The sequence below is a fragment of the Homo sapiens genome, chromosome 20, assembly GCF_000001405.40.
Source record: "Homo sapiens chromosome 20, GRCh38.p14 Primary Assembly".
Classification (NCBI taxonomy): Eukaryota; Metazoa; Chordata; class Mammalia; order Primates; family Hominidae; genus Homo; species Homo sapiens.
The window spans coordinates 49,102,743-49,129,127 of NC_000020.11; the positions used below are offsets into that span (position 1 = coordinate 49,102,743).

At 45.2% G+C, this 26,385-nt stretch overlaps 1 protein-coding gene across 28 annotated transcripts in view, besides 1 other annotated feature; it reads right to left on the reverse strand.

The window, feature by feature from the left end:
• Positions 10,597-26,385, reverse strand: part of STAU1 (staufen double-stranded RNA binding protein 1) — a 105,957-nt gene continuing 90,168 nt past the window's right edge. For 15 of the 28 annotated variants that reach the window (NM_001319135.2, NM_017454.4, NM_001322930.2 and 12 more), the window contains 8 exons: positions 21,633-21,845; positions 20,350-20,493; positions 17,240-17,386; positions 15,591-15,666; positions 15,035-15,354; positions 14,384-14,506; positions 13,040-13,125; positions 10,597-12,151 (listed from right to left, as the gene is read on the reverse strand). In NM_001319135.2, coding sequence (NP_001306064.1) covers positions 12,136-12,151; positions 13,040-13,125; positions 14,384-14,506; positions 15,035-15,354; positions 15,591-15,666; positions 17,240-17,386; positions 20,350-20,493; positions 21,633-21,845 — 1,125 coding nt within the window. In that variant the 3' untranslated portion in view covers positions 10,597-12,135. Of the gene's footprint in view, positions 12,152-13,039; positions 13,126-14,383; positions 14,507-15,034; positions 15,355-15,590; positions 15,667-17,239; positions 17,387-20,349; positions 20,494-21,632; positions 21,864-26,385 lie in introns of all 28 variants that reach the window. The other 13 variants (NM_001322927.2, NM_001322932.2, NM_001319134.2 and 10 more) reach the window with 1 other exon arrangement.
• Positions 15,015-15,172: a silencer, noted in NCBI's record as "fragment chr20:47734294-47734451 (GRCh37/hg19 assembly coordinates)". NCBI's record gives its function as "represses an EF-1alpha promoter that drives an FKBP-Casp9 reporter gene in an ReSE screen in K562 erythroleukemia cells {active_cell/tissue: K562}" and the evidence as "EXISTENCE:reporter gene assay evidence [ECO:0000049][PMID:32094911]".

Here is a 26,385-nt window from a genome sequence, read left to right on the forward strand (position 1 = left end):
AATAGGTAAGTCCCAAGACTGTTTTCTCAGACCTCATGGAAAAGGAGACCTCTTGGAGAAGTGAGAAGCAAAACGAGAACAGGTTTATTCACCTTGGACTGGAAAGATAACGCCTTGTAAGCAGTTAGAGGCAACGCTTTTGGATCCAGAGGGGAAAAGGATCGCTGCTCCCAGCAACCTGTGCTTCTGCAGCAAATAGCAGAGAAGACAGATCCCGAGTCCCTCTTAAGTGGGTCCAGCAGGGCACGGGGAGGAGAAGCTTGGCACTCGCCAGGTCCTCCCCATCCAAGACAGAGGAAGTCTTGGTGTCCTGGAAAGGCCAGGCAACCCCTGCCACAGGTTTGATGTCCAGGTGGAGGCAGCCCCACACAAAGAGCCTCCTCTGCCATGTTTATCGATCTCAGGCGGGAACCAGGGAAGACGTCTCTAAAGTGGTGCCTGCACAGCATCCTGGCCAGTCAGGAGGAAGCAGCAACCTAAGCCAACTGCCACAGGTTGGCCCTTCCAAACCCCAGCCATGGGAACACCTGGCCCTCCCCACTGTGCTTAGGAACTGAGTGCTTAGGAAACTAAAGGATGGATTTGGCCACGGGATGGGCCAGAGGTGCTCCAGAGCCAGCTGAGGCACATCAGGCCAAAGTCACCCTGCACTTCCCCTGAGGCAGCAGTTCCCACCAGGATTCACAAGATTTGGAGTGCTGTCAGAGGAACCGCAGTCATTTATGGCTGTATATTTTGTACTAGAAAAAAGTCACTAGGAATTCATGGGTGATATTGCTTAGGACAGTGGTTCTTAAAGTACCGTCAACATCACTTAGCACCTAAGTGCTTAGTAGAAACTACTTCATCAAAAACTCTGGGAATGAGACCCAGCAACCTTTTAACAACCCATCCAGGTGATGGGATGCATGTTCAATTTGGTGAGCCATGACTTAGGATAAAGCTAAGTAAAAGTAAGTAAGACATAGACGGTAGCAAAAATTGTGAAGATCAGGTTTGAGAACAGTGGTCTAAAGCTTCATGACCACAAAAATTGGAAGGGACCACATTTTAAAGATGTGAAATTAACAGCTTTACTTTTGTGCAAGAGGTGGCAGAAAAAAGATGAGCTGTGGTAATTAGGGCCCATGGGGCTGAGCATCATCACCCCGGGAGCTATGGGCCTCGCTGGGCCAAAAATAATGTGGCCCCTGGGCTGCAGAAGTTCTGAGCATTTCCAGTTTTCTTAGCTGAAGTTTGATTCAGCCTTGAACGGTGTTTACATTGTACTTGTTCATAAATCCAAGGAACCAGGAAAGAAACTTACTAAGACTCAGAATTTTCAGGCACACATTACAAAGTTGCCAGCACATTTTCAGCCACCCACCAGGTGCACATACACTCTGCGTACAGAACAGACACCAGTCAGAGGTTTGCACAGCAAAAGGGCCAAGCGACTTCCAAACTACAGAGAATCTCAGGCCATCTGCCTTGGGAGGTCTTTTGGCAGCCATAACAAATAGACTCAAAAAGGCAACTACTACAAAGAACAGAGTCTGAAGAAGTGACGCACAGGATGCTGACAGACCCTTAGTAGAGATCCTTATTCCAAAGGGGCATCAGCTGCCTGCTAATCCATCCAGGGTCAGGAGGAGATTCCTAGTGAGGCCGCTACTGCAGTCTAAGGAGTGGGAACAATCACTAGCCAGACTGGAGCAGCCCAGCTCTGAAGAGGAGGGGCTGTCACCTGATCCTGCCTGTGCCCCATCAAGCTCTGGAGACCAAGCAAAATCAAAGCTCCAGGCACACCTCAAAGCTCGCTTGACAACTGAAAGAGCCATTGTGTGTGCACTGTAGGTAAGGTCGTGGTAGAGCTGCCTGGGAAAGGGTGGAAGACACACTAAGATTTATGATTGGATACAGGGCTTGTGGGCAACTTCCAAATTTTTCATAATCTACTTTTAAATTAAAAAACCATCTTAGGCCAGGCATGGTGACCCATGCCTCCCAGCACTCTGGGAGCCAAAAGTGGGAGGATTGCTTGACCTCAAGTTTGAGACCAGCCTGGGTACACAGTGAGACCACATCTCTACAAAAAAAATTTTTGTAATTAGCTGGGCATAATGGCACATACCTGTAGTCCCAGCTATTCAGTAGGCTGAGGCAGGAAGATCAGCCTGAGCCTGGGAAGTCAAGGCTGCAGTCAGCCATGATCACACTGGTCTGAGCCTGGGTGACAGGGGGACCCTGTCTCCAAAAAACCCCAAACAAAAAATAATTTTAAAAATTACTGGCTGGGCATGGTGGCTCACACCTATAATCCCGCACTTTGGGAGGCCAAGGCAGGTGGGTTACCTGAGGCCAGGAGTTCGAGACCAGTCTGGCCAACATGGTGCAACCCTGTCTCTACTAAAAATACAAAATGAGCCTGGTGTGAGGGCACGCACCTGTAATCACAGCTACTCAGGATGAGGCAAGAGAATCACTTGAACCTGGGAGGTGGAGGTTGTAGTGAGCTGAGATTGTGCCATTGCACTCCAGCCTGGGGGACAAGACTGAAACTCGGTCTCAAAAAGCAAAACAAAATTGCTACTATACATAGACTGCTTTACTGTTGTCATTGCAGACCTGATGTTTGTAGGTTTCAGTGAATGTAAAAGAATGTGTGGATGAACGGTTTTGTTGTTGTTTTTGAGACAGAGTTTCGCTCTTGTCACCCAGGCTGGAGTGCCATGGTGCAGTCTCGGTTCGCTGCAACCTCAGCCTCCCCAGTAGCTGGGATTACAGGTGCCCACCACCACGCCCGGCTAATTTTTAGTAGAGACGGGGTTCCATCATGTTGGCCAGGCTGGTGGTCTTGAACTCCTGACTGCAGCTGAGCCACTTTACCCGGCCAGATGAATGCATTTTTTAAATATTAAACTTAGGTTAGAAGCACATAATAAAGCTGTACACATCTCCTACAGTTTTCACTAATGAAAATTGGGATGCCATTTAAATTACAAAGAAGTCTGAGGAGAATGTCCTACAGACTAGTTTCACATGCACATGCTGTCCTTACATGCTTTGTATACAGACATTAAACACATCAGTACAGTACACAAAGTAACAAGTTCCACGAACTCAGCACCACAGGAAAGGTTTACAAAAAATCCAAGAAGATGGCTATGCTGCCCATTAACAAACTCCCACCTCCTATCTTTGAGTTAGCCATTGCTTCTTAAAACAATGTATCTCTTTAAAAGCCCTATTTAAGAACATTGGCCAACTCCTCCACTCTTCCCTCTGCTAATCCTGCTCTGATTAAGTGCTTGACAAATCCAGTATTTATTGATTTGGAATTTCAAGTAAGTTTTTTGTTTTTAAGAGCACACAGGCATTTAAGCCCTTAAACCAGAAGTAGTGATAAATACTGCTGCTTTTTATTGAGGCTGAGTCTCCAACACCTAGGCTATAGTTGCAGTAGCGTGATCTCAGCTCACTGCAGCCTTGACCTCGGGCTCAAGTGATTCTTCCACATCAGCCTCCCAAGTAGCTAGGACTACAAGCCCATGGTACCACCATGGTGCCATGCCGGGCTAGTTTTCTGTTTTTTTTTTGTTTTGTAGAGATGGGGGTCTCTATGTTGCTCAGGCTGGTTTCAAACTCCCGGGCTCAAGCAGTCCACTCACCGTGGCTTCCCAAAAGGCTGGGAATACAGGGATGAGCCACCATGCCCAGCCAGTGGATGCTTCTGACATGTTATGTGCAAACAAAGCCAGACCTCTCGGGCCTCAGGTTTGCTTCCTGGGATGATCCTATTCTACTGAACTCACACTGATCCCTATAAAGCAAGCAGCAACATCACGCTTTTGGGAAAGGCCAATATGTTTTCCTGTCGATCATACCAATCCCAGGCGCCCTCCTAACAGGAGGGATCCAGACTATGGTGTCCATCACTGAGCATTCACCCAACAAAGCCACTTAAAAAAACAGCTCAGTAAACTAGATTCAGAAGTGATACTTGTTTGTAAGACCTATCCACATTACTCTGGCTTAAGAAGGCCTGAAAACCCAGAAAAACACCCAGCTATGGGTGAAAATACTTACAGGTGAATGTTTTAGTCTAGGATTAGCATTAAGATACTTCAGGAAAAAAATAATGGGGAGGATGAGACAAGAACAACAAACTCAAGACAGCTATGAGGAAATAACCATTACCCGTTAAGTTTTCCCTTTAATGACCATGAGGACAAAGTCATGACAATGCAGTCACCACCCACTTTTTGAAAAAAAAAAACAATGCCAATGTGGGAACCGACTGAGTCCCAAGCTTATCTACTGTAGGATCCAAGAGAGAGACAATCTCAGTGTTGGAGAATGCACTGAGAACATAGAGGAGAAGGCTACAAAGAACACTGAGTATACAAATGCATACAGATAGATGTGTATAGATATATATACACATAGATTTCCTGTCCGCTACAGAGGTCTAGAAACAATAACACCCCAGTAGCAGTAAGCCCTCAGAGCATTCAGATCTTGGTTTCTAAATGCTGTCTTCTAGTAGAGGGAACCAGGGCTCCTTAGGAAAATGGCTGAATCAGGCTAGGCGTGGTGGGTCACGCCTGTAATCTCAGCACTTTGGGGGGCTGAGGCGGGCGGATCATAAGGTGAGAAGTTCAAGACCAGCCTGGCCAATATGGTGAAACCCCATCTCTACTAAACATAAATACAAAAATTAGCCAGATGTGGTGTGCACACCTGTAGTCCCAGCTACTTGGGAGGCTGAGGCAGGAGAATCGCTTGAACCCACGAGGCGGAGGTTGCAGTGAGCTGAGATGGTGCCACTGCACTCCAGCCTGGGCGACAGAGTGAGACTCCATCTCAGAAAAAAAAAAAAAAAAGGCTGAATCAGGACTAGGGGAAGGAAAAGAACAAGATGAACCCCAAATATCTCAATGTGTCAAGTTAGTCTTCAAAAAATGATGGGGACAAATGACAGTTTTTGTGGACATAGAAAAGCCCATCCTAAAATTTATAAGGAATCCTAAGGGACCCTGAATAACCAAAAACAATCTTGAAAACTTAGCTGAAGGACTCATAGGTTAAGATTTCAAAATTTACTACAGTAATCAAATCAGTGTGGTACCAGCACAACAACAGACATATAGGAGGCTGGTTGCGGTGGTTCACGCCTGTAATCCCAGCACTTTGGAGGCTGAGGTGGGAGGATCACTTGAGCCCAGGAGTTCAAGACCAGCCTGAGCAACTTGGTAAAACCTTGTCTCTACAAAAAAAAAAAGAAAAAATCAGCCAGGCATGGTGACATGGTGACACACGCCTATAGTCCCAGCTACCTGGTAGGCTGTGAGCCAAGACTGCACCACTGCACTCCAGTCTGGGCAACAGAGTAAGACCCTGTCTCAAAAAAAAAAAAAGGCCAGGCGCGGTGGCTCACGCCTGTAATCCCAGCACTTTGGGAGACCGAGGCGGGTGGATCATGAGGTCAGGAGATCGAGACCATCCTGGCTAACAAGGTGAAACCCCGTCTCTACTAAAAATACAAAAAATTAGCCGGGCGCGGTGGCGGGCGCGGTGGCGGGCGCCTGTAGTCCCAGCTACTCGGGAGGCTGAGGCAGGAGAATGGCGTGAACCCGGGAAGCGGAGCTTGCAGTGAGCCGAGATTGCGCCACTGCAGTCCGCAGTCCGGCCTGGGCGACAGAGCGAGACTCCGTCTCAAAAAAAAAAAAAAAAAAAAAAAAAAAAATATATATATATATATATACACACACACACACACACACACACACACACACACACACACACACACACCCCCCCCCCCCCCAAAGGAAGAGAATCCAGAAGTCCTTCCATGTAATTTTTGACAAGGGTGCCAAGACCATTCAATGGGGGAGGGACAGTCTTTTCACAAATACTGTTGGGAAAACAGTGTGCACTTGCCAAGGAATGAAGCTGGACCCTTACCTAACACCATACACAAAATTAGCTTAAAATGGATGAAAGACCTAAATCTAAGACTAAAACTAAAACATGAGGCAAATCCGCAAATCTTCATGAGTTGGACTTAGCAATGTTTTCTTAAGTATGACACCAGAAACAGGCAACAAAAGAAAGTAATAGACAAACTAGACTTCATCAAAATTAAAACCTTTTTTGCATCAAAAGCTTTTCTGCAAAAAGCTTTTGCAGAATGAAAAAACAACTCACAGAATGGGAAGAAAAAAACTGCAAGTCACATCTGTTAAGGGATTAATATCCAGAATACACACAATACTCCTAAAATTCAACAACAAGCAACATGATTCAAAAAAAATGGGCAAGACTTGGACAGACATTTATCCAAAGAAGATAGACAAATGGCCAATAAATACGAAAAGATGTTCAACATCGTTAGGGAAATGCAAACCAAAACCCCCATGAGATACCACCTCATATCCACTAGGACAGCTACTATTTAACGAAACAATAAACATTGGCGACAATGTGGAGAAACTGGAACCATCATGCACTGTTGGAAAGTGATGGCTGCAGTGGGAAACTGGCAGTTCCTCAATATGTTAAAAATAATAGGTCAGACGCAGTGGCTCACGCCTGTAATCCCAACACTTTGGGAGGCCAAGGCGGGCAGATCACTTGAGGTCCGGAGTTCAAGACCAGCCTGGCCAACATGGTAAACCCCCGTCTCTACTAAAAATACAAAAATTAGCCAGGTGTAGTGGTGGGCCCCCGTAATCCCAGGTACTCGGGAGGCTGAGGCAGGAGAATCACTTGACCCTGGGAGGCAGAGGTTGCAGTGAACCGAGATCGTGCCACTGACTCCAGCCTGGGCAGCAAAGGGAGACTCCATCTCAAAAAAAAAAAAAATTATATGCAGCAATTCCACTTCTGGGTACATACCCCAAAGAGTTGAAAGCAGGGTCTCAAAGATTTTGTATACCAATATTCACATGTGGAAGCAACCCAAGTGCTTTTTTTTTTTTAGACTGAGTCTCACTCTATTGCCCAAGCTGGAGTACAGTGGCACAGTCTCAGCTCACTACAACCTCCACCTCCTGGGTTCAAGTGATTCTCCTGCCTCAGCCTCCCGAGTAGCTGGGACTACAGGTGCGCGCCACCATGCCCAGCTAATTTGCATATTTTTAGTAGCTATGGGGTTTCACTATGTTGACCAGGCTGGTCTTGAACTCCTGATCTCAGGGAATCCACCTGCCTCGGCCTCCCAAAGTGCTGGGATTACAGGTGTCAGTCACCGTGTCCAACCCCAAGTGCCTACTGACAATGTATTGATAAGCAAAATGTGGAATATATACACACAATGGAATATTACTCAGCCTTAACAAAGGAGGGAAATTGACATATTACAACACGGATAAACCTTAAGGACATTAGGCTATGTAAGATAAACCAGCCACAGAAGGGCAGATACTGTCCATTTATAGGAGGTTCCTAGAGTGAAAATCATAAACAAGTGGTGGTTTCCAGGGGCTGGAAGGAGCATGCGAGGGGAGTTAGTGTTTCATGGGAACAGTTTAAGTTTTACAAAATGAAAAGTTATGGAGTTGGATTGTGGTGGCTACACATTATGAATAAACTGTACACTTAAAAGTAGTTAGCAGTCTGGGCAACATAGCAAGACCTCGACTGTACAAAAAAAAATTAGCTGGGCATGGATGTGCACACCTGTAGTCTCAGCTATTCGGGAGGCTGAGGTAGGAGGAAAGCCCAGGAGAGCAAGGTTGCAGTGAGCCAGGATCACACTGCTGCACTCCAGCCTGGATGACAGATTGGGATGCTGTTTTAAAAAAAAAAAAAAAAAAGTGGTTAATAGGATGGTAAATTTTCTATGTGTCTTACCACAATTTTTTACAATTTTAAGATGGAAACATGCCAAAAGGACACAAGAGTCACCTTGACAGGTCTTCTGATGTCCAAATTTGAAGTAATTTGAACATCAAATAAATGGTTGCAATGGATTGCGACCCAGACTAGGAGTCCATTAGCTGACACACTGCATCAATGGGGAGGGAAGGCGCCTCCATGCAGGGGCAGGGTGTCGGCAGAAGGAACATTGGACATGGAAGCTCATGGATGGGCAGTGGTGGTGGATTCACATGGAAGTTGTAAGTGAAGGACAAGGATGGAGGGTAGAGGTCTGAAGAGGAACAGGCTGGTCATGTGCTTTGAGGATGCCTCCCCACAAAATACTCCTTGATTACCAAGAGACATAGTGTGACCTGACTGACAGTGGAGCAATCTGCCTGGGTCACCAAGGTTAACAAACTGTATGCCCCTGGAGTGACATACAGAGAAGAGCGCAGCATTTCTGTGGCTTTCCTGCCACAAAAGTGCTGCCTAGGTCTGGTCACCATCATCCAGACCCAGGCTGAGGGTGTACTACAGAGAGGTCTGCGGGCTTCACCCCACTAGGACGTGAAACACAGATGCCGAGAGGACTGATGCAGACAGCAGGAGAAAACTAAAGGCAACACACACCTCTTGACAGGGACCCTGGACCAGGAAAGGACAAGACACTGTTGGGACAGCTGGCGAGATCTGCATGGGGTCCATGGACTGGATGCAGTGTTCACTCCCTGACTTGGGGGAATATCTAAATTTTGAAGAGAGAGGGAGACCAGGGGAGACAATGTACACATAATTTCAGTAAAATGTACCTTTTATCTGTGAAATTATTTTAAAATAAAATTTTAAAAGTTAAAGGACTAGGTGCAGTGACTCACACCTGCAATCCCAGCACTTTGGGAGGATGAGATGACAGGATCACTTGAACCCAGTTGGACTGGCCTGGGCAATGTAGTGAGACCCTCTCTCTTAAAAAAAAAAAAAAATCATTAGCCAGGAATGGTGTCATGTGCCTGTAGTCCCAGCTACTCAGGAAACTGAGGTGGGAGAATCACCTGAGCCCAGTCAAGGCTGCAGTGAGCTGTGATCATGCCACTACACTCCAGTGTGGGTGACAGAGCAGGACACTGTCTTTAAAAAAAAAAGTAGTAAAGAAAGGCTATATACTGCTGGGTGCAGTGGCTCACACCTGTAATCCCAACACTCTGGGAAGTCAAGGCAGGAGGATCGCTTGAGGCCACTGCAACCCAGCCTGGGTAACAGAGCAAGCTACTGTCTCAAAAAGGAAAAAAAAAGCTATATTGTAATGTCTTACTATGCAAAGCTACTCATGAAAAACTTAAGCCAGGCGCAGTGGCTCACACCTGTAATCCCAGCACTTTGGGAGGCCGAGGTGGCCAGATCACTTGAGGTCAGTTCGAGACCAGCCTGGCCAACATGGTGAAATCCCATCTCTACTAAAAATACAAAAATTGGCCAAGCGCACTGGCACGTGCCTATGATCCCAGCTACTCAGGAGGGAGGCTGAGACAAGAGAATTGCCTGAACCCGGGAAGAGGAGGTTGCAGTGATTCCAGATTGCACCACTGCACTCCAGCCTGGGTGACAGAGCCAGACTCCATCTCAAAAAAATAAAAATAAAAAGAAGAAAAACTTACTACTGTTTTTGAACTATAATTTTTTATTGTAATATTTTTAACACTTAATGCTTACTTGAGTGTATTACCAAAGTTACCCCAGGGCACCCCTTCTTCAATGAAGTACCCAGAATGAGTTTTTTTTTTTTTTTTGAGACGGAGTCTCGCTCTGTCGCCCAGGCTGGAGTGCAGTGGCGCGATCTCTGCTCACGGCAAGCTCCGCCTCCCGGGTTCACACCATTCTCCTGCCTCAGCCTCCCGAGTAGCTGGGACTACAGGCACCTGCCACCATGCCCGGCTAATTTTTTTGTATTTTTAGTAGAGGTGGGGTTTCACCGTGTTAGCCAGGATGGTCTCGATCTCCTGACCTCATGATCCACCTGCCTCGGCCCCCCAAAGTGCTGGGATTACAGGTGTGAGCCACTGCGCCCGGCCCAGAATGAATTTTTATAAATAGTCGAAGACACAAAAGATCACACTGGTCGGCTTCCAGTGTTGCCGCCAGCAAGTACGCTCCCTGCGAAAGTGCATCAAGTCAGGGCCCCAGGCTCAGCTTCTCTAAGAACCTTCAGTCTGGGGGAGGGTTGTGATGTGAGTCACAGGTCCATGAATTCTTTTTTTGTTGTTTTTAAAGACGTAAAGACACTTTTTCTCCTTTCACTGCTTTTCTCCTCAAAATGTTGCATTTCCTTCTGCCCTTAGTGTTTTCCATAACCTTCTGATCACTTTCAGTTATTCCGGCAGTACAATCATAGGCTGGCTTTACAGTGAAGCCTTTATAATCTTCTTCCACTTCTTCTAAAATTAAAAAATGAAAACCAACTAGCCCAACCCTCAACCAGGCTGGAACGCATGTCCTCCTCAGTGCTCAGTTATGGTGAGAGATGAGGATGCCCTGGGAAGTGTCCGGCAGTCTCCTCTCAGCTCCTTGGGGTCATTTCTTTGGGTAGCAATGTCAGGTCTGGACGGGGCACAAGTCCCTACATCCAGGTACCCAACATGCCTCTGAGGCAGCAACGCTTCCCAGAGGGGCTGGCCCTGGTCCCCCCACGACGAGCTTCCATCCCCTTACTCACATCTTCCCTTATTTTAGTTACTGCTCAACAGGACCAAACACTTCATTAGTAGCTGTTTATTGATCAATGGTTTGATATAAAGTTATTTCAGATCTTCAGACTTTTGCCCAGATGGAATCACAAGCATTACAAAGTTTTTTTCTTAAAAATAAAAAAAGGATAGGGGCAAGTTGGGAGGGGACCAACCTAGCAGTAGTGGCATTTGAGAATAAATTAACAAAAAAATTTAGTATTACCATTTATTGATGACAAACACTTAAGTTTTACTTACATTCCATGGGGAGAAAAATTCCAGCGTAAACAATGAATGGAAGCAGTACTTAACTCGCAGGGCTACCAGGCTTTCCATACGGACCACACGCAGAGCCTCAGTGCACACACTTCTGTGTACAGTAACACAACATCAAAAGCAACACAGCTGTATACAGAAACGTAGGTCATTCTTTTCAGCCCTAATGGAGATGTAATTAACAGTATCGAGCACTCTGGAAAATCACTCTGCAGGTTTATATGGACTACATGGAGATCATATCCTGTAGTGTAGTGAAAGCTAAGTCCTCAAGAGCCATATGTATAGATACACAATGTTTTTTAATAATCTTTAAAACAGAGATCAAAGTTCATTTAAGTCCTGTTTGCATTAACAAAAATAAAAATGAAATAAAAATGGAACCAAATGATCATCTAAAGTTTAAAATTCCTAAATTGTCCAATTTATACAACTGTGGGAGACTTATTCAAGGTTTTTGAAAGTCCAGGACTGTTTCAGCTGAACCAGAGGGCACACAATTTGCATCACTGAAACTGTCCTGGGTTAGTCAATGAAATAAAAATGTCTAACCACATACACATGGATATGATCTTTGTCGGTTAGATTATTGATAAAGTCAGTCTCAGACAAGTTTCCAAACTGTGCTATTTAACTAGATACAATTGAGAAATTCTCAAATGAAAATTTTATATAGTGTCATATCAATCAAAAGAAAATAATGAAACTAAGAATACAGATCACTGTTGGAAGAGAAAGCAGTGGTGATGGTGTGGGTACTGCAGGAGGTGGTGGGGCCGTGGCACACTAGAAAAGTTGGGTCACGCTGAGTAGGAAGCATTTGATTTTCTCTGGTGCTTTTAGCTCTGGGGCCGGTCAAAGGCCTCTCTCTGGCATGGCTGTCCAGGGTTTGTCCCAATGTGTCTGAGTGAGCCAGCTTGAGAAGGGGTCGTGCCGTTTCTTCTTTCACACAGGGGAAAAAAAAGACCAAACACGGAGGTGCCCAGGGTGTGGATCTGCTGGTGTCCCGGGAGAACCAGCTGGCTGGGCAGCCCTTCTTCCCCACAGGCAGCTGCTATTGCGTAGGGACCGCCAGGTCACCGAGTGGCCATCACAACAAACCCCAGCACAGTCCAGCCCGGCCACAGCCGCCTCCTTGTGTTTCTGTTGTCTTCCCTGCTGCTGCCCACATCCTTTACCCACCGTGTCTCTCGGCCCACTGGAGGTATCAGAAATTCCAAATTTTCAAAGCAGTTTCAGTATTTTCAGTATATATGTTGGGATTTTATAATGGTTCATGGCCAGAAAAGGTTCAGCACCTCCCACACCTTTAAGGAAGAAAAATGAAAATGACACTAGTTTTGAAATGTAAGAGAATTAAAGTACTGTTAAAAATGAAAAGAAATTGGCAAACATCAGGAAGTACAATACTAAAAGCCCCAGTTTATGATAACAAAAGTTTTCCCAGGGTATGCCAGTAAGTAAAATACGCAAGGAGAGTGTGTGTACTTATCTCTGTGGGGGGAAAGGAAGAAAATGAGGGAAGAAATATATGTCTATATTTGTATAAAGAAACATACAGGAAAGATACAGGAGAAACTAGTAAAAATGTGATCTATGGGGGAGGCGGTGGGGAGAATAGGAGGGATGGGATGGGGGCTGTCCGAGGGGAAGATTGTACCTTGTAAAATAATGCAGAGTTCTGACCATGTGAAGGTATGACCAACTCAAAAAGGTTTTTTTGTTTTTTTTTGGGACGGAGTCTTGCTCTGTCGCCCAGGCTGGAGTGCAGTGGCGCTATGTCGGCTCACTGCAACCTCCGCCTCCCAGGTTTTAAGCAGTTCTCTGCCTCGGCCTCCCAAGTAGCTGGGATTACAGGTGCCTGCCACCACACCTGGCTAATTTTTGTATTTTTAGTAGAGACAGGGTTTCACCATCTTGGCCAGGCTGGTCTTAAACACCTGACACCTCATGATCCACCTGCCTTGGCCACCCAAAGTGCTGGGATTACAGGTGTGAGCCGCTGTTCCCAGCCTCAAAATGTCTTTTAAAAGTAGAGCTTTCTGCCCAGAGAATCTGGAAAACTTTCAGGCAAAAGGGCCAGAAAGTAACTCAGGCAAATATTTCCCCGCTGAGTCAGCAGATAGTGTAAACTCAACACAAACGAGGGGCAGCCTCCCCATCATCAGCGCCTTCCCCTTCATCAGTGCACTCACACAGACATTGGTCCGTTTCCTGTTCTTGGCATCTCTGTACTTTGTTGGTCCAACTCAGACAGCAACTTTAAGATGTTCAGCGCAGCCTAGTGGGGATGGAAAGAAGGGTAAAGCCACAGCCACCGCTTGGGACCACAGCATAATACACTGGTCAGGCAGGCAAGAGAGTTCCTGCTGCCCAGCAAACAGGTGGCAACTTCTTCAACTCTGGTACTACTAAATAAAACTTTGAATTTTTAATTTAAAATACAAATTAAAAAATATTCAGTTACCTCACTGAATCATAACCTCTGAAAATGTTATATTTTTCCTTCTAGTATTTTTAACCATGTGGTAACCAGACTGTATAAATGTTATATCCTGCTTTCTAACAAAAATCTATCATGTATTTTTCTTTCTATAGAGACAGGGTCTCACTAAGTTGCCCAGGCTGGTCTCAAACTCCTAGGCTCAAGCGATCCTTCCACCTTGGCCTCCCAAAGTGCTGGAATTACAGGTGTGAGCCTCCACACCCGGCCTATCATGTATTTTTCTTCTTATTACATTATCTTCGGAGACACTGTTTTGTTTTGAAACGCAGTCTCACCCAGCTGCCCAGGCTGGAGTGCAGTAGTGCAATCTTGGCTCACTGCAACCTCCACCTCCCGGGTTCAAGCGATTCTCCTGCCTTGGCCTCCCAAGTAGCTGGGATTACAGGCACCCACCACCACACCTGGCTAATTTTTTTTTGTATTTTTAGTAGAGATGGGGTTTCACCACGTTGGCCAGGCTGGTCTTGAACTCCTGAGCTCAGGTGATCCGCCTGCCTCAGCCTCCCGCAGTGCTGGGATTAGTGTGAGCCACCACACCCCACCCAGAGACATTAATTTCATGCATGCATGACATCCCATCAAGTGAATACATCACAGTTTACTTAGATTTGTTGATCTGATCAATTCCTTTTCTCAGTTTTCTTATAACAATAATTTCATCTGAACAGAAGACCAAAGCAAGTGGTTTTTACAGCTGCCAGAACGTGGACCTGCAATTCCTTGTTCTGGTGAGAGATGAAGTGAGTGCAGTCTCTGGGTGAGCTGCAGGATCCCAGTTGCCCCTCCAGGCCAGCAGGGAAAAGGAAGGGAAAGGTGGGCTAAAGCTGATGAGTTCTGATCAAGAGTGAGAAATCGATCCAATCAGCTATGACAAAAAGTCTTCAAAAATATGAACACTATCAAACGATTCATTGCTCTCAAGGTCTATGGGACAATCTTTCTCCCATCTTCCTCAGGCTAGTAACAAGCTGAACCAAGGCAGGCTCCACATAAACACACAACACCCCAATCCCTCACCCAAGGTGTGACGTACCATATCATGGCAGGACTCCACATCCTTGCCGATACCATGGCTGATCAGAGGTGGCTGAGAGGAGCAATTGATAAGAGATACAAATTCGTTCTTGTTGTTTTTGGGGAAGTCTTTGTATTCAACCTAAGGGGGAAAAGAGAGCTGAGGCTAGGTAGGGAACAGCAAGTATGAGTGGGCTGGAGGGCTGCAGCTCCAGGCCCCACAAGCAAGATCACCAGCTCTTTTTTCCAACTCAGCCCCACTGTGGCCATACTAACACCTGCCCTGTCAGCCCAGAACCTTCCAGGAACCTAGGTGTCTGCTCAGAAGCCCAAGACTGGGAGAAGCCATATCCTTTCCTACCAGACAGAAAGTGTCAGCACGATGAGTCTGTTCTTTGAAATCCAAATTTACAACCACTGCTAGTGGTTAGAAGCTTTTAGGGTTGGCTTGCATGTTGAAATCTTACTACCAAAGGATAAAGATATTTCTCTTACCACATATGCTTACAATACTTCTATACCTCCTACCCTTCCATCACTGCTCCCCAGCCCATCCCTGGACAGAACTTGATTTAAGAAAAAAGTACAAAGTTCAAAGTTCATTTTCTGAGAGAAGCCAAAAGATGACTGTCCTGAGGCACAGCCATCACAGCTCAGGCCAGACAGTTACCTGGAATCCCTGGACTCTGGAAAGATAGTCCAGTTGCTCAGAGGGTCTCGTGAGAGGTCCATGGGGTACGTGGCCTGAAGAGATGTTATTCTTTAAAATGGTCTCGGCTGTGGGCGAGGTGCCCCCATACAACAACTCTCGGGCTATCATGGCAGTTACCGTGGCCTTGGCAGGATTCGGAGCTGCCCTGGTAAAATCTTTGGTGTGATGTCCTTGACTAACTCCTACAGCCTGGGCGACCTCGGGCACCATGGGAAGAATTCCAGCAGGCAGCTGCTGATGACTTAGATAAGGCATCCTGAACTCATCCTCTTTATTACCTGGGAGGGACATACACGGTAAACACGAATCCACATCCACAGCCTGGAAAAACGCAATGACACCATCAAACCCCACGCTGGCCCTCCCCTTGGCACGCATGGCAGCGCAGGGAATCAGGGAATGATAAAGACACTTTGCATGCGGGACCTCACTGGCTGGGCTCCTGCTGTTATTCAGGACCCATGCAAATCCCAGAATCACGTTCAGAGGAAGACGATATTAAGATCACACTTACTAGTCCCATTTTCATCCCCAGAGCCAGGTTCAAAAAAGGTTACTTTTCTTCCATCCCCTGGTTTCTTTATGGGTGTCTTAAAAAAGAAGAAGAAAAAAAAAAGGCCATGAGCATAAATCAGATCACTGAAAAATTAGCTCCTGCTGTCTAAATCTACACAAAGTCCAGTCAGCAATAACTGTGGCAATCGGCAGAAAAACCCTGCCCCACCTGACCACTGGCACCCTGACAGACACCTGGGCAGAGCCTGCCTCCTTCTCCTAATGCACCCTCCTGCCCACACCCCTGCCCACAAAGAGCATCTAACAAAGTGCACTAACCTGTGAATGCTGAGCTGCACTCTGCACCCACAGGAAGACGGGAAGCATTTAACCAGAAAGAGCAGAGATGCTAGACGGTAGAGCCCACCAAGGTGGGGAAAGAAGCTTTCAGACTGAAGCTAAACAAATAAATCAAGAATATTTCCTGGAGCTGATATCCAATTAAAAAATAAGGTGACATTCCAAAATTAACACCCTTACGGGGAAAATGTTATTACCTAAGAATTTTGTCTAACACAACATCACCTTTCTAAGAAGTAACAAAGGACACTCTGAATGTCCTACAAGATTCTGAAATGAAAAACCCTAAAGCCAAGTCTAAGATCTATACTGGTGGTATCTGGGGTCCCAGTCAGTTATTAACTGGCCATGACTGATGCTGTTTCTGTCAATATGACTGGCAGACATGAATGAATCAGGCCTGATTTCAAGTTTATCTCACCAGGACCATTCAGTGATGGGAAAGAAGAAGGTCAGCCATGGCTTTTGCTGAGGTCCTGCTTACCACTTCTGGCAGACACGAATTTTTCTTTTTACGTTCCTTTTTTGTTGTTGTTGAGACAGGGTCTGTCGCCCAGGCTGAGTGCAGTGGCATGATCACAGCTCACTGCAGCCTTGACCTTCCAAGGCTCAATCCTCCCATCTCAGCCTTGTAGCTCGGGCTACAGGTACAAGCCACCATACCTGGCTGATATTTTAATTTTTTGTAGAGACAGGGTTTCATCATGTTGCTCAGACTGGTCTTGAACTCCTGGATTCAAGGCCTCAGCCTCCCAAATTACAAGTTTGAGCCACCACACCTGGCCGTGAATTTTTCAACAGGGGATTATTTTCATCTGATGTTTAACTCACATAGGAAAAAAGAAATCCCAAACCTAAACTTTGGATTTGGCCTGTCTCTACTGTCACACTGTCTTATTTTGCCAGAAAAATCAAAGCCTATTCCACAATTAACGAAAGCCTAACAGTTATAAATCTTTCACACAGGCTTCATTTCTAGAGTGCAAATCACACTTAGTAATTTCAGTCCTAATTACCCTTCATCCTCATCCTACAAATAGAGAGGAGCAAGCTGCCCTCCACAAAGCGTCCCCAGACCACAAAGATACTGACACAATCAACGATCTAACCCAGAGCCTCCTGGGGCCAGTGGACATGCGAGGCCCCTCTGAGCACATTATGGTCCAAATGGATGAGACACTCCTCAGCAGGACTCCTTGAACTGTCAGGCAGATAAAGCCTTGCCTTGAAGCCTGCCCCTGGAGGTGCCCCAGTTCCCTAGGGTGAGGCGAGAGACCATCTTGCAATCAGAGAGCCCACAGCACTCACCTTCTCCTCTGACTTGAGTGCGGGTTTGGTGGGCTGCGCCTGCGGGACTTTGAAACCAAGGATCTCCAGCATGTTCTCGGCTGCATTGCGCTTGGCCACCTTCTTGTTGGTGCCCGTTCCTTCTGCAGTGTGGTTTCCAACCTTCACCTGCACAAAGAAGTCAAAACACAGACCAGTGCTTAAACCTTCAGAATAACAACCAGGCAGGAATTGGTGTGTCAGCAAAATAACCAACTATGGTCAGAAGCAAGATAACAGCAGTGCCCCGAACCTGGCCTCCTTGTCTCTGAGAGCTAATTATTAAATAGTCAGGAGTTTGGGAAGCTGGCTGTTAAACACAGCCAGTATTAAACATTTAATTATATAAGCTGATAATTATTTTAACAGAGGTAATTTTTGACTGCATTTTATAATCATCTGTGTTCTGAGGGTCTGCCCAGCTATTGCATTTGTACAATGGAAACAGTCTGTGATGGTGAACTACTGTACATCTATTCCCAGCATTGCCATTGGAAGTATCACTTTGAGAGCTTGAAATCAGCCATGGTGGGACTATTTATACCACAGAAATATACAAATGCTACGTATCAAAGATCATAAGCTGTTTATTGTCTAACTCTAAACCTACAATGATGAAAAGGTTAATAAAGCAGGTTAATCTTAAAAGCATGAGAAGTCTGCAGCCATTACATTGTAACTAGCACAAAAAACTGAAATATCTTCCCGTCTTTGAAAATTATCTAATTTTGCAGAGAAGCCACTCATATCATTTACAAATGAGTGATGTTACATGTCTTCATTGTTTCACTTTTTCTTTTTTCTTTTTTGGGATAGACAGGGTCTCACTTCTTCACCCAGGATGGAGTGCAATGGCATGATCTCAGCTCACTGCAACCTCCACTTCCCAGGTTCAAGCGATTCTCCTGCCTCAGCCACCCGAGTAGCTGGGATTACAGGCGTGTGCCACCATGCCTGGCTAACTTTTCTATTTTTAGCAGAAATGAGGGTTCACCATGTTGGTCAGGCTGGTCTCGAACCCCTGACCTCAAGTGATCCGTCATGCTGGGATTACAGGCGTAAGCCATCAAGCCCAGCCTGTTTTACTTTCATCTTACCTATTAACATAAATAAAAAACATCAACCAGCCGGGCGTGGTGGCTCACGCCTGTAATCCCAGCACTTTGGGAGGCTGAGGTGGGTGGATCACCTGAGGTCAGGAGTTCGAGACCAGTCTGGCCAACATGGTGAAACCCCATCTCTACTAAAAATACAAAAAGTAGCTGGGCGTGATGGTGGGCACCCGTGAATCCCAGCTACTCGGGAGGCTGAGGCAGGAGAATCACTTGAACCTGGGAGGCAGAGGTTGCAGTGAGCCGAGATCACACCACTGCCCTGCAGCCTGGACAACAGAGCAAGTTGACTCCATTCCCCTCTACCCCAAAAAAAATGTATCTCAACCAGTATTCATGCTACAACCAAAATCTCAAATCTACAGTATGTATTTGTCAGTGACATGAGCAACACCTTTGCTGAACTGGATAGTAATAAACCATTATGTGCTGTCTGATTTTATAACACTATCGTTGGTAACTGTCACACTGAAATATGTATGAAATTTACAATAAAGTGTATATTATTTATAAATTGTACTACACATCCTTTCTGTCAGTAAAATTTATAAAACACACATATATGTCAGTATAATTTATAACACACATCCTTTGTGTCAGTAAAATTTATAACACACATGTATATAACACCCATGTATATATCTATAACATACATATTCAGCTCATTCCACCAAACCACCCTCCCCGAAGAAGAGCTGGTTGTTAAACATGTTCCAGCACATCACTACTTACAACCCCCTTCCAAGTTGATTGTAATAACAGGCACCTGGCTGCTAAAACCAAAAGCCCAGGTCACAAGACTCAGAGAGTCAAAGAAACCATTCCCTGGCCTGGGACTAAATTCCAACCTGGCCATCTACCAGCCATTTCATCTTGGGCAAACTACTGATCCTCTCAGCAAACTGCAACTTCCTTTTGTGGAATGAAAGGATCATTCTTTTCCTACCTTCTGACTGCATAGGTAAAATATACGAGGTCAACTTTCTAAGTTATAAATTGCTATACAAGAGATAAGGATTCTGTCTTACATCAGAAAGCACTTAAATTCAAATCACAATTAAGTTAAGCTGCCTATGTGAAATGACCACTTAGCTTTGAACTTAATCAGCTAAGTACAAAGAAATGTTCCATACTAATCTGAAGTGTCACCCAATCTAAGGAAGAGGTAACCCTAGATTCCAGACTCCATAAGAATTAGGAGGAAGAGGAACAGATCTCTTGATACTACTTACAAAATTTACCTTTGGTAAAGAGCAATGTCATAAACCTTCAAGGAGATGTAATGAAGAAAAACTTCTCCCAGCACCCACCACCCCAGGACTCTTTCTTCCAAATTTCAGTGCAACACACCCACATTCCCACCAGTGCACCCAGCAGTAGTGCTGGTGTGCAGACATTACATTCATTTTTTTAAGCATTAAGATAAACAACTTAATCTTTGATATGTAGCCTTTACAGATTTCTGTGGTATGTTTAAGCTATCAAATTATTGCAAGCCACAAGGTCTTAATAAGGATCACAGTTGGCTGGGCGAGGTGGCTCACGCCTGTAATCCCAGCACTTTGGGAGGCTGAGGTGGGAGGATCACAAGGTCAGGAGATCAAAACCATCCTGGCCAACATGGCGAAACTCCGTCTCTGCTAAAAATACAAAAAATTAGCTGGGCATGGTGGCACGTGCCTGTAATCCCAGCTACTCGGGAGGCTGAGGCAGGAGAATCGCTTCAATCAGGGAGTCGGAGGTTGTAGTGAGCTGAGACAGCACCACTGCACTCCAGCCTGGGCGACAGAGTGAGACTCCATCTCAAAAATAAATAAATAAATAAATAAATAAATAAATAAATAAGGATCACAGTCGCTGGCAGAACATGGCCCACAGGATCCAGCCTCCTCAGGAAGGTGTCCAGACCTTGAACCGCCATCAGCCCCCAAGGCTGGACGTGGTCAGAGGAAGGGGCGCCCATCATCCATGCGGACCCACCTGCATCACAAACTCCCTGCGGCGCGGGAGGCCTCGCTCTGTGAGGAGCGTGTACTCTGGCTCCTTCTCCTTTTTTGCCTGCTGGATCTGGGCCAGTCGGCTAATCGGATTGATCCCCTGGCCATATTCTGGGCTTGTCTGTGGCTGAGGAACAAACAAGGCAGAAACTCTGTAATGTTATTCACCGCATGAACTTGGTCAACTCAGAGATCAGGATATGAGAGGAGATAAGAGATTTTGGGTTGACCTAATGGCTCAGAATTCGATTTTTTTTAATTTAACATTTTAACAATGAAAAGATGCTTTATTTTTTTTATGATTGTTCTAGGTGATTTTAAGGTCTTAGCAAACCAACATCAACATTTCACTATAACGAAGCGTCACTATGACTGCGACGGCTGTTTTTTAACATATTTCAACATATGACAGTAAATGGGCAGAAAAAACATAAAACACTATTCCTACAACTCCCCAAAAGTCTGAGCTATGATGGGTTCCCAATTTTCTTGAAAAGAACTCAAAATCCAGGAACCACTTTTTTAAAAAAGCTCAAGCTGATGCCACATGGCAAGAAGAACCTCAGAATCCCAGTTACTTCCTTGAGGCCACCTTTTGTGCCAAGGAACCCTCACTCTGCTGATCAGAAGTGACTTCCAGGCTATATTAAGCAAAAAAGGGAAACAAAAGGTATACATAGTATGCTTTTATGTAAGAAAAATTTGGATCTTGATACAGCATGAAACTACATATACTGAAAATCACAAAGTTCCCCATGGAATTATGTCCCCTTTCTGGGGTTGGGGAAGGGGTCAATATAATGCTTTGATAGATCCATTAGTGTGGCTCAAAAATCCAAAAGAAAAGGCACACAGCAAAATGTCTCACTCCTACCCTCCCACTATGGGCCTCCTGCCTGGCACAAATCTCCTCCACCTTCAGAACAGCAACATGGTCACTGAGACACAGGCACTGTTATTTCACCACGCGCCCCACAGACCGGCATGGCGTTCCTGCCCAATACCCCACTGTGATCGCCAGGGCTGTGATGAGCGCCCTCCTGCACAGATGTGTGTGCCCGTCTGCGGGTACCTCTACTGAACTGACACAATGTCCTTATCTTACCTAACAGGTGGCTCTTGCAGCACCTCTAAGGGGTCTGGCAGGCCTGGGGTGTGGCACGTTGGTCTCATCCCCTTTCACCTTGGGGACAGCGACCAGCCTTCTAAACCCCCCACCCATCTATAAGTAATGAAAACACCTTCTGTGTTCAGAAAAGTTCTCACCTTGACTATGGGTTTTGTTTTCTTTTTGATTCTAGGCTTTACTCGTTCAACTGCAGGCAGGGGCGGTAACTTCTTCAGCTCCTCAAGAACAGCTATGGCGGCATTTTTCTTTGAAATCTTCTTGCTTTTCCCTTCACCTTCCCCCACAAACTCCCCAACCGAAACCTTGGTCACAAAGTTCTTCATGTGGGGTGGGCCACTCTCCCGGGCCACCTGTTTCAGAGGGAAAGACTGAGTGAAAGCGGACAGACACTTATTAAAAGCTCCAAGGCACACTGGCTGGCACACTTCACACAGACACAGGGAAGGGGAACCAAGGACAAGACCTACTAAATGAAAGGAAGCGGGGATCATTTCAAATGCTTTCTCGCCTTTCTTCTTACTTCTCAAACTGGTTTATGCTCTTGAGTCTGGTGAGTCCCAAACAGTCAGGCATGAAATAGGGAGACCTTTTTACTCCCATGCCCCTGGCTCACAGGCTGTCCTGAGTTTAGTGTGGTCCACTGCAACTGGCAAAAAGGAAGCTAGCCCAGCAAAGTCCAGAAATAAATGCAGTACAAATGCTCAAGTTTAGTATCTGCTCTGAGCCTCCAGCCAGGACTAGGCCTACTAAATACTGGTTGCTATGTGGCCACAAAAGAGAACGAGACAAATCTCTTAAGCACTGATAAAGAGGGATTCCCCGCACACATTAAGTAAAAAAAAAAAAAAAAAAAACCCACAAAAGAGTATATGGTATGGTAGCTTTAGTTTAAGAAAAATAGGATTTTATACAAATATCTACACATATATAAACAGACACACATTTATAAGCTCATTTTTGCAAAAAAAAAAAAAAAAAAAAAAAAAACGAAGGATAAAAAAAATCAATGGGCTGGACATGGTGGCTCACACCTGTAATCCCAGCAATTTGGGAGACCAAAGCGGGTGGATCACTTGAGGTCAGGAGTTCAAGACCAGCCTGGCCAACATGGTGAAACCCCCATCTCTACTAAAAATACAAAAATTAGCTAGGGGTGGTGGTGCACACCTGTAATCCCAGCTACTTGGGAGGCTGAGGCACAAAAACCCCTTGAACCTGAGAGACGGAGGTTGCAGTGATCCAAGATCACAAAACTGCACTCCAGCCTAAGCGATAGAGTAAGACCCTGTCTCAAAGGAAAAAAAAAAAAAAAAAAAAGCAAGCAATGGGCCAGGCGCGGTGGCTCACGCCTGTAATCCCAGCACTTTGGGAGGCCGAGGCAGGTGGATCACGAGGTCAGGAGATCGAGACCATCCTGGCTAACATGGTGAAACCCCGTCTCTACTAAAAATACAAAAAAAATTAGCCGGGCGTGGTGGCAGGCGCCTGTAGTCCCAGCTACTCGGGAGGCTGAAGCAGGAGAATGGCGTGAACCTGGGAGGCGGAGCTTGCAGTGAGCTGAGATTGCGCCACTCCAGCCTGGGTGACAGAGTGGGACTCCGTCTCAAAAAGCAAGCAATGAAATTAGTTACCTACAACAGGTGTGAGGGATTAGGGTAGACAGACGGGATGAGACGGGAATGATAGTTTTGACTTCTGGAAGCATTTACTGTTTTACATATTAAAGAAATAAAACTAAGTCAACAAAGATGGGGAAAGAATCTAAAATTAAACATGAACAGAAAGTTAGCTGCATATTAAAGTGATTACAATCTCCAAATGGACCAAAGACCTACACAGAGGCGCTAACATGCACAACTCTCAGAAGCAAAAACAGGCGAGTCTTCATGACTTTGGGTTTGGCAATTGGTTTTTAAGATATGAAACTAAAAGCACAATCAACAAGAGGGAAAAAAAAAAGTCACACTTAATCAAACTTTAAAACTTTTGTGTATCATGGACATTATCAAGAAAGTGATTACAATAACACAGATAGAAAATCAGGCTGGGCAGGGTGGCTCATGCCTGTAATCCCAACGCTCTGGGAGGCCAGGGTGGGAGGATCACTTGAGCTCAGAAGTTCAAGACCAGCCTGGCCAATACAGCAAGACCTTGACTCTACAAAAATAAAAACAAAATTAGCCAGGTGTGGTAGTGTGCCCCTGTATGTAGTCCTAGCTATGTGGGAGGCTAAAACAGGAGGATCACTTAAGCCCAGGAGATCAAGGCTACAGGGAGCTATGATCACACAACTGCACCCCAGCCTGGGCAACAGAGCAAAACCTCGTCTCAAAAAGCAAAAAAAAAAAAACAAAAAAAAAACAAAAAAACTTAAAAATCTAACCGATATTAGCCAAGACACTCAAAAAGAAAAATAGAAGACTTACACTACCAGATTTTAAAACTTCCTATAAAGTCACAACAACTAGGATATGGTTTTGTGTAAGGATAAATAGATCAACAGAACAGCACGAAAAAGACCTGCACATATAAGGTCACTCGATTTTTGGCAAACACACCAAAACAAATTAAAAATCTCTTAAAAAAATAGTACCAGAGCAACTAACTAGGTATCTGCATGGAGCGGGGTGGGGGGAAGAAAAAAAAATCAAACCATGATCTCTAACTCATACCACAACAAAAATTAGACCTAGGATCACTTAAATGTGATCTAAACTAAAATTACAAAGACTTTATAACAGGAGAAAGCCTCAAGACTGTAAGGCTGGCAAAGAGTTGAACACAAAAGATATCCACCATAAAGAAAAAAGAAATTCCTCAAAATTAAAAACCACTGGCCGGGCGCGGTGGCTCACGCCTGTAATCCCAGCACTTTGGGAGGCCGAGGTGGGCAGATCACGAGGTCAGGAGTTCGAGATCAGCCTGGCCAACATAGTGAAACCCCGTCTCTACTAAAAATATAAAAAATTAGCTGGGCGTGGTGGCGGGCACCTGTAATCCCAGCTACTTAGGAGGCTGAGACAGGAGAATTGCTTGAACCCAGGAGACGGAGGTTGCAGTGAGCTGAGATGGCACCACTGCACTCCAGCCTGGACAACAAGAGCGAAACACCATCTCAAAAATAAATAAATGAATAAAATAAAAAATAAACTGCTCATCAAAAGACATTTAAAAAGTAAAAAAGGGGGCCAGGTGCAGTGGCTCACGCCTGTAATACCAACACTGTGGTAGGCCGAGGCGGGTGGATCACCTGAGGTCAGGAGTTTGAGACCAGCTTGGCCAACAGGGTGAAACCCTGTCTCTACTAAAAATACAAAAATTAGCTGAGTGTGGTGACACATGACTGTAATCCCAGTTACTTAAGAGGCTAACACAGGAGAAATGCTTGAACCCCAGAGGCGGAGGTTGCAGTGAGCTGAGATCGCGCCATTGCATTCCAGCCCGGATGACAGAGCAAGACTTTGTCTAAAAAACAAAAAAAACTAAAAAAGGGGCCAGGCACATTGGCTCACTCTTGTAATCCCAGCACTTTGAGAAGGCCAAGGCGGGTGGATGGCTTCAGTCCAGGAGTTTGAGACCAGCCTGGGCAACATGGCAAAACCCCGTCTCTACAAAAAAAATACAAAAATTGGCTGGGCTCGGTGGCTCACGCCTGTAATCCCAGCACTTTGGGAGGCCGAGGCAGGCGGATCACCTGAGGCCAGGAGTTTGAGACCAGCCTGACCAACATGGAGAAACCCCATCTCTACTAAAAATACAAAATTACCTGGGCGTGGTAGCGCATGCCCATAATCCCAGCTACTCGGGAGGCTGAGGCAGGAGAATCGCTTGAACCCAGGAGGCAGAGGTTGCGGTAAGCTGAGATCACGCCATTGCACTCCAGCCTGGGCAACAAGAGCGAAACTCTGTCTCAGAGGAAAAAAAAAAAATACAAAAATTAGCCCAGTGTGTGGTGGCGTGTGCCTGTAGCCCCAGCTACTTGGGAGGCTGAGACAGCAGGATCACTTGAGCTCAGGAGGTCGAGGTTGCAGTGAGGTGAGATCATGCCACTGCACTACAGCCCGGGTACCAAGTGAGTTCTTTTCTCTAAAATCAAATAAAATAAACTTGTTATTTCAAAATATACATATTTCCTAGCTCTATCTCCTAACCGAGAGCCATGGCTCTCCAGCAGGAACAAGCATGCTAGCACCCTGTCCTGTCTCTACACACCACTCCCAATTAGAAGGAACCGGATCTTCTTGGAGGAATGGCCAAGACCATTTCTATTAGAAATTTATGTTTCCACTGGGGCTAAAGCTAGAGCAGGGGAAGTTCAAAGTGAGGCTAAAACATTTTGTTGTATCAGAAAGCATGGAAGTTCTCAAAATGTGAAGAGGGGAGGTGCAAAGGTTATTTAATAAAGGACTGTCTCAGCCAGGCATGGTGGCTCAAGCCTGTAATCCCAGCCTGGGCGACAAGAGCAAAACTCTGTCTCAAAAAATAAAGGACTGTCTCTTCAACAAACAGTGCAGGCACAATTAGACATCCAAATCCAAAAAAAAAAAAAAAAAAAAGACAAAAACATCCCTTATGTCACAGTATATATGAAAACTAACTCGAAATGAATTATAAACCTAAATGTAAGAGCTAAAACTAAAATTTCTAAGGAAAATGACTTTAGGTTAGCCAAATGTATCTCAGCATACACAAAAATTATTAACTATAAAAAATTTAACAAACTACACCTCACCAAAATTCAATACTTCTGCTTTTTGAAAGTCACTTAAAATCAAACGACAAGCCACAGACTTAAGAGAAAATATCTGCAAAATACTTATCTGAGAAAAAACTTGAATTCAGAATATATATAGAACCTCCAAAACTCAATAATAAAAAGACACTCAAAAA